This window comes from Homo sapiens, chromosome 1, assembly GCF_000001405.40.
Source record: "Homo sapiens chromosome 1, GRCh38.p14 Primary Assembly".
NCBI classification, from domain to species: Eukaryota; Metazoa; Chordata; class Mammalia; order Primates; family Hominidae; genus Homo; species Homo sapiens.
This window is the reverse complement of record NC_000001.11, coordinates 119,975,280-119,988,990: the sequence shown is the minus strand read 5'-3', so window position 1 is coordinate 119,988,990 and position 13,711 is coordinate 119,975,280. Positions and strand designations below refer to the sequence as shown.

Below are 13,711 nucleotides of genomic sequence, written 5' to 3'. Positions count from 1 at the left end.
AGAAAACACTTTATTTCTTTTCTGTTGTGGTTCTGCTGAAATGCTTCTGCTTTCTTGTCTGTGGTTGGTGAATTCAGTTAGTTGTAACATTGGCTAATATAAAGTTAGAGTCACAGTTTCTATTCCTTATAGTTGAGCTACAAGGGCTTCGCTACCTCCCTGACACCCTAGTCAACTGTATTTAGTCTTACTCATCAGAGAGATCGAGTTAGGGGAGGATGATCATTGACCTTCTACTACACCACCAGACCTCTCAAGTTTAGCAGTTGTAGGCCAGGGGCCCCATTTTCCCCAACAATCTAAAACTATGTCTTTAAATTTTCCAAAGAATATCTTCATCAAGAGCACCAGACTAGGGGCAAAGACCCTAGTTCTTACTCAAGGACCTAGTAGATCCCATAGATTCTGTAGGGGTGGGCTTCAATGGCTCATCATTTTCTGGCTCATTGGTCTATTTGTAAGACTCATATTTCTGTATGAATAATATGAAATATGAGTAATATGATACATTTTTGAAATTTGAGTAAATTTTCATAGTCTTTTTCAGGCTTCTTCAGTGATTCATCTGCTTGAATGGACTGAGTACCAAATACTTGGAGAAATATAATTTCCTTCAATAAAGCCTTCAGTGATTTCTGTCTTCCATGGAGTGATTTTTGGCTAATGTTTTTGGTCACTCAGTTTATACTTATTTATATGACTGCCATTGTATTTAGAGAAATCAGCCATGTTCCAGTGTAGCAGAGCAGATGTAGAATGCCACAGTAACTTATGGTAAGGAATAAAGCAAAGTGTGATTGATGTGTGTCCCACTCACAAGGCTGTAAATGCCACAAAAGCAGGGACTCACTGCTGTATCACCAGTGCCTAATGTAAGTCCCAGTAAGTATTTTGAGTGAGAGAGAGGAACCTTAAGGGATATTTCGAGGAAGCCAAATATGTAATCATACTATATTTCAAATAGGAGAATGTTTAGAATAGAAGCTGGTAGTCTTCTATTTAATTAGCTCAGGAGTTTGGTAGCAAGGAAAGAGAAAGTAAGAGGCCCAACATATAAACTACAAAGGACCACACTGTGGGCAGTTAGAGTGAAGTTTGGTGTACTAGTTTCATTTTTCATAAAAGAAAAAGTCAAGAGGAAGGAAGCAATGCTGTAAGTTTAGAGAAGAGCCTGATGAATTTGAAGTGCTGGTAAGCTTAGTTAGTAATAATGCCACCCAATTTTCAGATACCTTTTAACATTTGTATAGCACTTTACTCATGATGTGGCACTTATAATTAGAAAGACAGGATAGGCAAGTGGAATTAGCCTCATTTTTTACAGGTGAGGAAGTTGATGCAGAACTTTAGCTTACCATGTACGAATAGCTTGCAGGTGGTGAGATTGGGACTTGATCCATATCTTCATACTTTAAGTTCAATATTTTTCCTATATCCTCCCCCACTCCCTTCCCCACCTGGCTTGGAGGCCGCCTAGCAATCATTCAAAGAAAAAAAATAAAAGGAACTTAAATTTAATTAGGTAATATTTTATCTGTTCTTCCCATTAGTCTGGTATGGAGCTGGGGAAAATCCAATACCCTGTTTTTTTAGAACCCTTGAATATCTCTGTCCCAAGTAGACATTTATCATCCCTGGGATTTTATTTCATGAAAACATTTTGAAATACTTGTGAGGTAACTATGAAGGCATGCCATTGGCACAATGAGTCACTTTCACTGTCTAGCTATGCTTGAGGCCAGAGAAGACAGAGAATTGGGGATTTTTCATATGGTGAGTCCTGGGTGAGCAGCTGTTGAACTGAAGTCATGAAGCGGGTCTATTCTAATAACCATGTTCTGTGGGAACAGAGCAGGTCGTTTCTTCTGTATGAGATTTCATCATTTTCATTTGTTCTTCATTTACCAGGTTTTGAAGGGAGCACCTGTGAGAGGAATATTGATGACTGCCCTAACCACAGGTGTCAGAATGGAGGGGTTTGTGTGGATGGGGTCAACACTTACAACTGCCGCTGTCCCCCACAATGGACAGGTATGTACAGTGTGGAGAATCCACCAGAATGGGATATGGATTGGTAACCAGAGGCAGACTGTTTTTTTAAAATATCAGTAACAAATATCTTAGGCCTGCTCTGGAACCAGTATGTGAACTGAGCAGGATCTCCATGCTAGATCATTGCTTATTGTACTAACCTCATACATTTTCCTATGTTCACTCAAAGACATATTTTCACAGGTATTATTGGGCAGCAACTCTGAACCCAGCACCATGCTAGATGCTGTGGCAGATATGAGAGAAGAGCACTACTGTAAGCTTATTATCTGGGAAAAGCAGGACATTACCTGGAACATAGTAGATGCTTAATAAATATTAAAGAGGAAAAATTTCCTGAAATGCTAAAATAAATTGTACAGGCTACCAGAGTTCAGAGCCTATTTGTTCACGGACAGAGATCTGTCCCATCTTAATGTCATGTTCTATAACTAGGCAAAGTGTTAGGCAGGTACTCTTAATGACATTATTTTTATGATACGCATCCTACATTTGTTTTTTTCTTCTATCCCTTTTTGTACACGAACAAAAATAGTTTTTTCTGCCTCTAACATTAGAAGGGTAGTCTTGCTTAATTTTACAGCCTCTTGGAAGTTTCTCATGTAGTCTTAGGCAGGTTGAGTGATTTACGCAGACATTTGGTTCTAATTTCTCTTTATGTCTGTTTATCTACTGAAAGTAGAGACAATTAAGAACTGATTAAGGGACTAAGAGCTGGGCCTTTTTGAGAGAAATTAATTTAATGTGGAAACCCAACAGGAAGTTAGTATTATAAGAAAAAATTACAGTACCAGTAGTGGGCTATCTCCTACAAAGAATCTTAATGTTGAAGTGCAGCCATTACTACCTGGTATTCTTTAGTGTCTCTGAATTACTTTTCCTTATCTGTAGCATCTAATTATTTACAATACTCTTTAGAGCTGTAGACTATGAATAGAAAAAGATGAAAAGCATTTAAAAACTCAATCACAGGACTTACTGGGGAGGCCAAACATTTCTGCTTTTAATTCCCAAACTGTCCCTTTTAATACTTTCCCACCAGGTTTTCCTAGAATTGGGACTTCTCCTAGAATTTCTTCATGGTGTCTTGATCCTAGAACTTCACTTCTAACCCTCTGTACTTTTTGTGACATTGTCTCTTCTAGTTTTTGCCATTTTTCTATGATAGACTTTTCAGAGGCTATTTTTTCAACTTAAAAAATTACTGTAAAGTTAATTACATGACATATAGTAACTGGAAAAATTTGTGTTTTTTTTCTCTTTTTAATGATCCTTACAGTATTGGACAGGATGAGATACTTGTTAAGAACTTGACCACATTCTGATCTCTCCCTTGCTCTGTGAGACAGTAACTGTGTAGTACTGAGGCTTCTGATGCCAGTGAAGATTAAACAACATTGTAATATTGTTGCTGGTTTTTGTTCGATACTACACTTGGTTTCTTGCTTTGATATTAATTAGGAAGGCCTGCTCTTGGGGAAAACTTCCCCAGTGAAATGATTTTTTTATTCAAATTTCTTATCCCAGGACATTTAATAAATGCCTCTTTTCGCTAGAAGTCTTTATAAGATGTTTCCGTTTTTATATTTTCCAAAAAGGGTGGTGGAGATCATGGATAAGTTTAATGTGGCAGTTTTATTTCTTTTGATTTGCTGTCTGTCATTTAGAGTGACCTTCAGTTTTTTTTTTGTTATTCATCACAGGTTTTCTTCACTCATGCCAATTCTTTGATTCCCAGTGAGAAGCCTTGTTTTTGCCCTGCCCATCATCAACAGGAGAAAGTCTAAGATCCTTCTTCTGTTATATGAAGCCTTTCATGGCTTCAGCTCTGTCTGCTTCCCCAGTCTCCTTCTCATGCATCTAGCAGCATACCCTAGCAGTTCTCTGCTCACAGTTTTCCTGTACATACTGCATAGTGCTTCACATCCTGTGTCTTCATTGACACCATTCCTTTTCTCTAGGGTTTCCTTCTCCACTCCTCCCCCATTTTTCTCATCATTTTTGGCATGCCTGACTCAGATCAAGTGGTTACCTGCTTCAGGAAGGCTTCCCTGATCTTGCTCCAGGCTGAGCTAAATGTTCTACTCTGGACTCCCTTAGTACCCCATGTATTCTCCTGTAATAACACTTACCACGTTTGTATTGATATTATTATATGCTTGATGTGAGGGATGTACCGAGTTATGGGGGCGGTTGGACTATTGATGACAGCAGTTACTAGCACTCCTTACAGACCTTTGTTCTCAGTAGCATGTAGCTGAGCTATTTACCATCCCAGCCCCTATCCTATTGTAAAGAGAAAAACAGAAGGAAAATTTTGTGTCATAGGGCTTCTGTTTCTACTGATATTAGATGTATAAATTCAGATTAGTCTTTTCTGTGTTACACAAATTAAAGAAGTGAATGGAGCAGGAATCTAGTAGGAGTTAACTAATGTTTATTAGCATCCAAATACTGTGCTAATTACAATGTTTTATCTGTGTAATCTTTGCAATAACTGTATTAGAGATAGAGTTTAAATATCCTTTTTTCAGATGATGATGCGTATTCAAAAGGGTTAAATAATTTGCCCAAGACCCGTAGTGGTTGGGTTAGGGTTTGAATCTAGGCTTGTTGAACTCCAAATCTTTGCTCAAATCTGTAGTCTTTTTTCTATATAAAATTGATTTTGTAAATTATCTTGTTTTATTTTAAGAACTTGGGGTGTTTTTTAATAGACTGAAAATTTCATTATCCTGAGATTTGGTGATTTACTCCATGTGTTTTCCCTTTTTAAGAACCTAGCTGGTTATTTTGAGGTTAGAAGTTAACATTATGTGTATGCTTTAGATTCAGTCTGATGCTTTTTCACTATACCTAATAGCCTATTGCAACTTTGTTCAGAATTCCTTTTACAATTTCCACCTGTAGACTTGAAGCATTAACTATTTGGTCTGGCTTTTGACAAAATGAAAAAGGAGGGGTTGGAGTAGTGAGGTGAGAAAATGAAGGAAATGAAGTTGCCAGCTATTTGAAAAAGAATGGATAAGACTATATGGCTGAAAAAAGATAGGCATTAATTTTAAATAAATGGAGATTTGGAAATTTGCCATGCTTTTAATGAGAAGAACCTGATAGTTACGGCTTTGTTTTGTAACTACATATACATAAAAGGCTTGGTGTTTTGTAGCAAGTTCTACACTTCAAGATGAGCATAAATTCCAGCTCTATTCATGGTTTGATTTAGGGTAAATTTGTCAGCCTCCTTTTCTCAGAAGCCTTCATTTGCTATTATCTCTTTCTTGGGATATTGAAACAATCAAAAATGCAATAAAAAGTTTATTTTTTCATTTGTTCTGCCAACAGCTATTATGCTAAACATTCTAAATTCATCCTATTCTATATGGTGGCCCCTGGTTTCATCTTGCTATTGAGCATCTGAAATATGGCTAATGTGAATTGAGATGTGTTGTAATTGTCAAATAACTGATTTTGAAGACTTAGTATGGCCGGGCACAGTGGCTCATGCCTCTAATCCCAGCACTTTGGGAAACTGAGATGAATGGATCTCTTGGGCCCAGGAGTTTGAGAACAGCCTGCGTAACATGGCAAAACCCTGTCTCTACAAAAAATACAAAATTAGCTGGGTGTGGTGGCGTGCACCTGTAGTCCTGGTCACTTGGGAGGCTAATCACGCCACTGCACATTCCACCCTAGGGGACAGAGTGAGACCAAGAACCTGTCTCAAAAAAAAAAAAAGAACTTCATATGGAAAAAAAGATATCTTTTTAATAATGTTTAAATATTGATTAGATGCTGAAATAATACATTTTGGTACATTGAATTAAATATAACATAATATTAAAATTAATTTCCCCTATTCCTTTTTACCATTAAATATTTTAGTAGCCACTGGAAAATTTGAAATTATATCTGTTACTCTCATTATATTTCAGTTGGACAGCATTACTTCAGATGCAAAGATGGTCTGTAGGTATTACCATTGCTGCTGCTTTGTAGAAGCATCTGTTCTAGCCCTGAAGTAGAGGAATAGATGGTTTCCCCATGGCCTGTGGGCAGAACTGTGTTATATACCCCACTACAGGCGTTTTTACCTACTGTGGCTGTCTAATTAGTGTTTGTTTGTGCCTTCAAAAACTACCACTCTTGTGGACTAGCTTAAGCTCAGATGGAAAAAAGAAATTGGTCTTAGGGAGTGGGTGTGGGGAGATGATTTACTTCTTTATAGGGAAGTGTCTTATAGGGATAAGCCTGAATACTGGATATTCCTTTAGGAAATAGAAGTAGACCTGATGGTTGGATGAAGATAGAGCACAAACGTCTTTATTATACTGTATTTGGCCTCAGGCCATCTTATCAGAGAAGTTCTGCTCTGGCAGATATCCATTTAAGGAAAAAAGGGTTTTAAAGGGCCCAAAATTTATTAGAGCAGTGTAGATTAATGTTTTGTCTACATAGACTGTTATTTGAATTTTCTTTTTAAAGGTTCATTTCCTTCAGAATTAAAGTTGACCCTAAGCTCAACTCACAAATTCCTCTCTGTGGCTGCTTTTGACTTTGGGCTCACTTCTGGGGCAGATGTGATTTATTTTCTTGTGCTTGTTATTAATCCAGAAATATAATTTCAGCATGGGCTTGGAATAGTGCTCTGGGACATGAAGCAGAAGTGAACAATGGAAGTTAGGTGGATATGAGTCAAAGAAAACTGACCACACTTTCTCTCAGCTCTCCTTTACAGCATGATGAGCCTCAAGAGCTGGGGGAGGTTTTCATTGCTGTCAGTGCTCCCAATTCAGTAAAAATGTTTGATGTGAGTTGGCAAGTACATTTGCCAGAGGTGGTGCATGAGCTCCTTGTGTCTGGGAATGGAGATTTTCATGATGGTGCTTTTATTTTGAGCTAGATCTTCCTGTCTCAGTCTAGCCTCTAGCTGGTGATGAATTATTCTCTAGAGTAAGGCTTTTCTCACAACCATTTTTCTACTTTTTTTTTTTTAGGACTATAGGGATGGAGGTTTTTTGATTGAGAGAGAATACTACTTAATTATATATGGTATTTCAAAGCTGCTCTCTTTTATATTCTACATGGAGGAATGGGAAAATATGTCTCACATTTCAATTTTTCTGCTGTAAGCCTGATTGTGAGAAGTATAATAAGCCTGTTTTCTGAATTCTACCTCCTCACCCCAAATTCGGTTTCCTATCAGTTGGGCAGACTGCCACAGTGCTAACCTGAAGCACCCTTGCCCCAGATGTCCCAGAGTTGATTAGTGGCGCTGTTGGTGGAAACAAGGACGAGTGGATAGTCTAGCCCCACATGCAGGAGGTGAGACTGCAGGCAGGATCTTTCCTGCCCTGCAGTCCATGACTCAGGGTGTAGCCTTGGCTATGTTACAGGCACGATCCAGTTTAACTTCATGGCTCTCTAAGCCCCCATGGAACGGTTGTTAGTAGGTTCAATAATTTATCTATTGGACCTACTTACAGATATTTATTGAACAACTACTACATGGAATATATTATGCTAGATACTGTAAGAGACACAAAGAAAAAATTCCTATTTTAAGAGTGGTAAAATTGACTAGGAAGACATAAGAAAGTCCACACATAACCACACTAGGAAGCAGAAGGTGTGTGTGAATGTGAATTTGAAAGAAACAATGGTGGGAATGGGGAAGCATCTAAGTACTTGGTGGGGTAAGGAAGGTGATCGAGAAGAGTGAACTTCTGTTTTGAGTCTGAGTAATGGATGGGAACTGTTGACAGAGAAGGAGAAATAGGGTAGAAATGATGGTAAGTTGGAGATGAGTTTTCCAAGTGAAAAACATGCAGCAGTAAGACCCAGGAGCTCAGAATACAGGCAGGGACGAGAGACTCAGGGTTACCATGGAATGTGTCAAGTCTGTGAGGGAAATTGGATGGAGTGATAAGAACAGAGGATTTGGACCCGAAGTATGAGAAACATCCACACTTCAGAAAATTGACGAGGAAGGGGATCCAAAGAAGGAAAGTGAGAAAAGGGGAGGTTTGAGAGGTGGGAAGAGAGCTCGGCCATGATAGCATCCTCAAGTTAAAGGGTACAGCCTTAGAAGCTTGCCCTGAACTCAACTCCACATGCCTTGGTGGCAGCTCCTGTAATATTTTACTTCTCTTACTGCGTTATTTGTTCAGCTTGCCTAAGAGACTATCAGCCTCTGGAAGGCAGGAAACTGCTCTTACTTATTTTGACATTCCCAGAACTGATTTTAACAAACCATGGTTATTAATAACTGACAACCAGGAGACTCAAATATAAATGATAACTGCAAAATATTCATTAGAATATTTGAGTCATTAGAAATTTTCTGAAATACAGTTTTAATACAGACAAGACTAAGAAGCTAGATTGAGGAAGTTAAAGGAAAAAGTAGGCTTTGGGGAGAAGGAAGGGGCAAAATGGGTTTAGATCACTATGTAAGATTTTGCACAACTGAAAAGGAAGAGCGAGGGAGACACAACGCAGGGTTATGGGAGACAGAAACTTTATTCATCTCATTGACCATAGAGCTTGGCTACACTAAGAGTAAGGCAGCTCAAAGGGCGTTGGCTAATGAAGTGGATTATTGGGAGGGGTTTACTCTTACAGTTTTTAGTGGGGAATACTTTAGGTAAGATGTCTGCTGGGAATGGGAAAGGAAGAAGATGGGAAAGTTATAGTCAGAGAGTGGAAGTACCAAGTTTGAGATCTTGGACTAGAACAATGAGTGTCTTGTAACAGAGGTGTAGAATGTGAGCGTGCTTGTGATATGGAATGGATGCGGAGGTCTGTAAGGTTGAGAAAAGTAAGAACTCTTGACTCAGATGACCTTACTGGTCCTCAACCCAGATGTTGATATCATGCGAGACAGGAGAGGAAAGAGCGAGAACATAAGCCACATGCTTGTCATTCTAGGAAGAGGAAATTGGTCCACGAGAACGACAGACCATGGTGTGATAATTTATATTATACTATGTCTTTTTTTTAATTTTTAAAGGACTTCAATTCATCTATCTACTTTTAATGTCAGAAATTAGAATGTATTTATTGATTTCTTTCTCTCGAAGATGAGGAATTAGCATACTTCTCATAGCTTTCACTCACTCACTAGACTTTGTATAAATAATCTGGGTTTCAATATTTATATTATTGTTATCAAATTTATAAACATATACATATTCTTTAAAATTATTCTTGATATTTACAATTTTATAACCCAATTTATAATATTTTCAACTTAGTTGTATGTGCTACTTGTTTTGTGTTAACTACCAGTGCAATTATGTCACAACATTTTCATTTCTGAGTTCCTTATTTTCATTAACATTTTAGCTGAATAAGTATCTTTGAATAATTTTATTTCAGAGGAGTTACATGTTGGACCCATTTGGTTAGTCAAAAAATGTCTTTTGATTTAGTTGCCTTCATACACAAGTTGTATCTTGACTAGATATCAAATTCTTGGGTCACGAATTAATCTCATCAAATTCTTAGACATTGTTCCTTTGTGTCTTCTGGTTACTATTCTAGGGAAATGCAATGCCAGTTGAGTGTTTCTTCTTTTTCATAAGTAACACTGGGCTCCCTGCCTTCTTTTTCATTTGTTGTAGAGTTGTCAGGAAAACCTATTATCTTTGCAATTAGGTCTTCATTCTTTCTTCTGCAAAGCTAAAATCTCTCTTGATTTTTAATCTGTTCATTTTTTGTTTTGTGTTCTGTGAGAGCTCTCTTAAGGTTCTTCTTTATAACACTGACTTATATTTCTTCATTGTCAGGTCAGTCCTTTATAGCTTCTTCTGCCTGCCTCTCAGCCCCTTTGATCAGAGACTAATGTCCTATATTATTTTTTATTTCTTTGTAGAACGTAAACATGTCTAAATGTCTTGAGTGTACAGGAGCAGTTCTTTCTAAAATGTATTAGCTCCTGTAAGTGAATAATTTTCCCAGTGTGCTTTTCATCAATATCTTAAGCATTACATTCTCCATGTTTTATGTTGTAGAATCTTTTAATAGGTGCCATGTTGTTTTTTTCCATTTTACTCATTCTGAGCAGAGTAACTGCCTGCCCATAGACAGGGGAGGTGGGTGTTCCCCTGGATCCCCTCACTCTCAACCTGGCTGCAGCTAGTTTTTCCTCCTGGTGCAGTGAGGGGCTTTTATGTAAACTGGCTCAACAACCCAGCAGCCTAAGGTGGGGAGAGCCAGAGAGTGGGGCCTCCTAGCAGGAGACCAAAGCTTGGCACCACTTTCTTCTCTGTGGCGGGGGTCAGCTTTCTGAATGCCCAGTACTGGCCCAGCCTCCATGGCAATCCACCCAGTGGCTGAGCCTGGATGCTTTTCAGTGCTGCTGCCTCCGGAATCTGCCCCAGATGCACTGCAGTATTTCTCATTGCTATAGTGGCCAATAGTGGCCACAGGAGCCTGGACTCTGCAGTTCTTGAAGTTTTTGTTGACCTGGAGGGGTGAGGTGGAGTTCAGTCCATTCTCCTCACTGCAGCAGAGTGGACTTTCTGAAACATGCATTGGATCGAGTCATTTCTTTGCTGGAAACACTTCAATGGGTCCTCCTTGTCTTTGGATTTAGTCCCAAGGCTGTGCATGTAACTCCCTCTCCAGCCACACCTCTCTTCACTCCCCTAATGCATTTCTTATAATTCAACCACAAGAATTTTTTTTCATTGCCGCAAATGAACCATGCTGTCTCTTCAACTCAAGCCTATGCTTTCTGCCTGAAATACTCCGCACTCCACCCTTTCTCTACACACTCCCTCACACACTTCTCCCCTCTTTCACAACCTGGCACGCTCCTCCCAGGCCTTCTCTTAAAAGTTACATTCTCTAGTTCCTCTCTATTCTCCCTACTCTGTACTCCCAAGGCAATAGGTATCTATGAAAGCACCTGTCACTCTGTGTCATCATTGTTTGTTTGGTTATAAGTCTGCTGTTTGTAAGTTCTGCAGGCAGAAGCCATGGCTGTTTTGTTCACCATTATAATCCCATTGTGTATAGTCAGAGCCTGGCACATTGTGTTTGTGTGCGTGTGTGTGTATGTGTACATATATATATTTTAGATAAACGAATGAATGAATTACAGCATTAAATTTTCCAGTTGTTCCCAGCCCAACCTCATCTCCAAATTCACAGCTCTTCTTACCTTTCTAAGATACTTTAGTATTTTTCTTCAGTGTGTACCGAGTTTGTACTAAATCTGTAAAATTAGACTAATTATATATGAAGACTATAGTTGACAATCAATGTAAAGCACATATCATCTGGAACCTAGAAATAACTCAGTGCATATGTTTTTACTGCTGAGGTTAGTAGTGACGTTGGGGAATAAAAAGAAAACCCGCTCTTTCTCCCCTAGTTTCCTGTCAGTGGCAGTGTTTAGAAGAGGAGGACTGCAGGAGCTCTACCGCAGAGGGCTGACTGGGCTGGTGTGTTTAGGGAAAACTCAGGTTTCAGTCAAAGAAGGAAGTTGTACACCTTAATGTAGAGTTGCCCTTGAGGCGTAGTTGAAGGATTAGTGGGCAAAGGCAAGGTGAATCTGGGTGTGATACAAATGAGATAGAGTTCAGTGACACAGGAAGGGGACTGGGATGAGGGGTTTGCGTGTGAACTGGTGGTGTAGACAAGGGTGACGGACACTTTGGGTAGGAACAGAATAGAGATACTGTTGCTATGAGAAGGGTGAGTTGAAAGATAATTATTATTTTGGGATTAGGATAACTTAAATAAGAGAACCTTAAGCAGATAAACATTCATTTAACGAATATTTATTTAAGCTTGGGATTGTGTTTCATGCTGGGGATTCAGTGATGAGGTAAACAGCTACCCCCCATTTCTTCATGGCACTGACAGTCTAGTGAGAAACACAGGCATAGACAATATAATTCTCCATAAAATTTTGAACTGTACTAAATGCCTTGCAGGAAACATAGAATGTATCTGGAGAGCATATTAATAGGCAGAACTAATTGTGTTTAGTGACAAGCAAGTAAGGTCTCTTTGAGAAAGTAACATTTTCCATATAGACAATGAGTAGGAGTTGGGGAGAGTGAGGATAAGACTATCCCAGGCACAAGGAATAACGTGTGCTAGCCACTGAGGAGGGAAAGAATGTGATCATTTTGAGAAATGAAAAAAGCCCAGAGTGGCTGGAGCTAGTGATATTTCATGGTTAGAGCCTAAAGAGATAGGCAGAAAACACTGGTAGGTGTTAGAATTTTATCCTAAATGCAAAATAATTCATCAAAGGATTTGAACAAGCGAGTGGCGCATTCTACTTTACATGTTAAGATCATCCTGGCGGCTCTTTAGAAAATACATTGGTCATGATGCAGGGAAACCAGGCCTTTGAGAAGTCCTGAAAAAGATGATGCTGTCTAGAATTAGTGGAGGAATTTCTTGCATTTATTCTGTGTATGAATATCCTTTCCACAACTACATTATCCCCTTAGCCACATCTATACTCCCAGACCATCCTCTCAGTAGGCAGGCCCTGTAGACAGCAGTGTTTATACAGAATGTTTCACCCAACTTTATTCCGAGCAGGTGATGGGACACTCAAGCTTGTTCTTTGTTCTTCAGCTCCAACTTCAGCAGCGTGATAGAAAGTCTCCTGTGTATGGAGCTGAGGTTTTGTAGGATAGAAGTCCCAGGAATGATCTGCTCTGACACAGAAAGAGATGAAACTCCAGAACTCAGGGGCTTGGGTGACTGCTGGTTGGAAAGGTATATAGGAGATGGAGCTCTCTTGACTCAGCCATAGAGGAGAAGGTAGCAGACTCAGTGCAAGGGCCAGCCAAGCTCATTTTTTATTTGTTCCTCTTGTGGAGATTGTTGTTGCAATGAGAGTTGACCCTTAACTGGACCAGTAATGTGATCAGACTTTTTCCCACAGACTTCACAGTTGAGAGATGACTGGAAAGGATGAGAGTCGAGGCTCAGCACCTTACTTTTTTCAATTCCTTTCTCTTCTTTTCTTTCTTTCTCTTGTTGTCCCCCTCTATTTTTTACCCATCACTTGTAGCTCCAAATCAGATTAGTGGTTTGTGGGTGGGGCCCTTGCCTTGAGAGAGCCATAATGAGCTGTTTGTGTCCCTGCGTGTTACAGCTCATAAATGCTGACTGTTTCATGGTCTTTGGCTCACTTGGCTGAAGCGTGGTGCTAATGAGGCCCAGGCCATGGTTTCTATTTCAGCACAGACCTCTTAGGTTCACCCTGTTATATTTACTGCCACAGGCTGTGTCCATAATTTTTTTTTTTTTTTTTTTTTGAGATGGAGTCTTGCTCTGTCGCCAGGCTGGAGTGCAGTGGCACGATCTCAGATCACTGCCACCTCCGCCTCCTGGATTCAAGCGATTCTCCTGCCTCAGCCTCCCAAGTAGCTGGGACTACAGGCATGCACCATCATGCCCAGTTAATTTTTGTATTTTTAGTAAAGACGGGGTTTCACCATGTTGGCCAGGATGGTCTCAATCCCTTGACCTCGTGATCCACCTGCCTCAGCCTTCCAAAGTGCTGGAATTATAGGCGTGAGCCACCACGCCTGGCTGACTGTGCCCATAATCTTACTTGTTCAGCCTGAAGCCAGAGGATGGAGCAACAAGAAAAGATCAGCATGGAGGTGACCCTACTCCT

At 39.6% G+C, this 13,711-nt stretch overlaps 1 protein-coding gene across 2 annotated transcripts in view; it reads left to right on the top strand.

The window, feature by feature from the left end:
* The window catches only part of NOTCH2 (notch receptor 2), a 158,110-nt gene that overhangs the window by 80,672 nt on the left and 63,727 nt on the right, over positions 1 to 13,711 (top strand). For both annotated transcript variants that reach the window (NM_024408.4, NM_001200001.2), the window contains exon 5: positions 1,909 to 2,031. In NM_024408.4, the coding sequence (NP_077719.2) occupies positions 1,909 to 2,031 (123 nt within the window). The remainder of the gene's footprint in view (positions 1 to 1,908; positions 2,032 to 13,711) is intronic.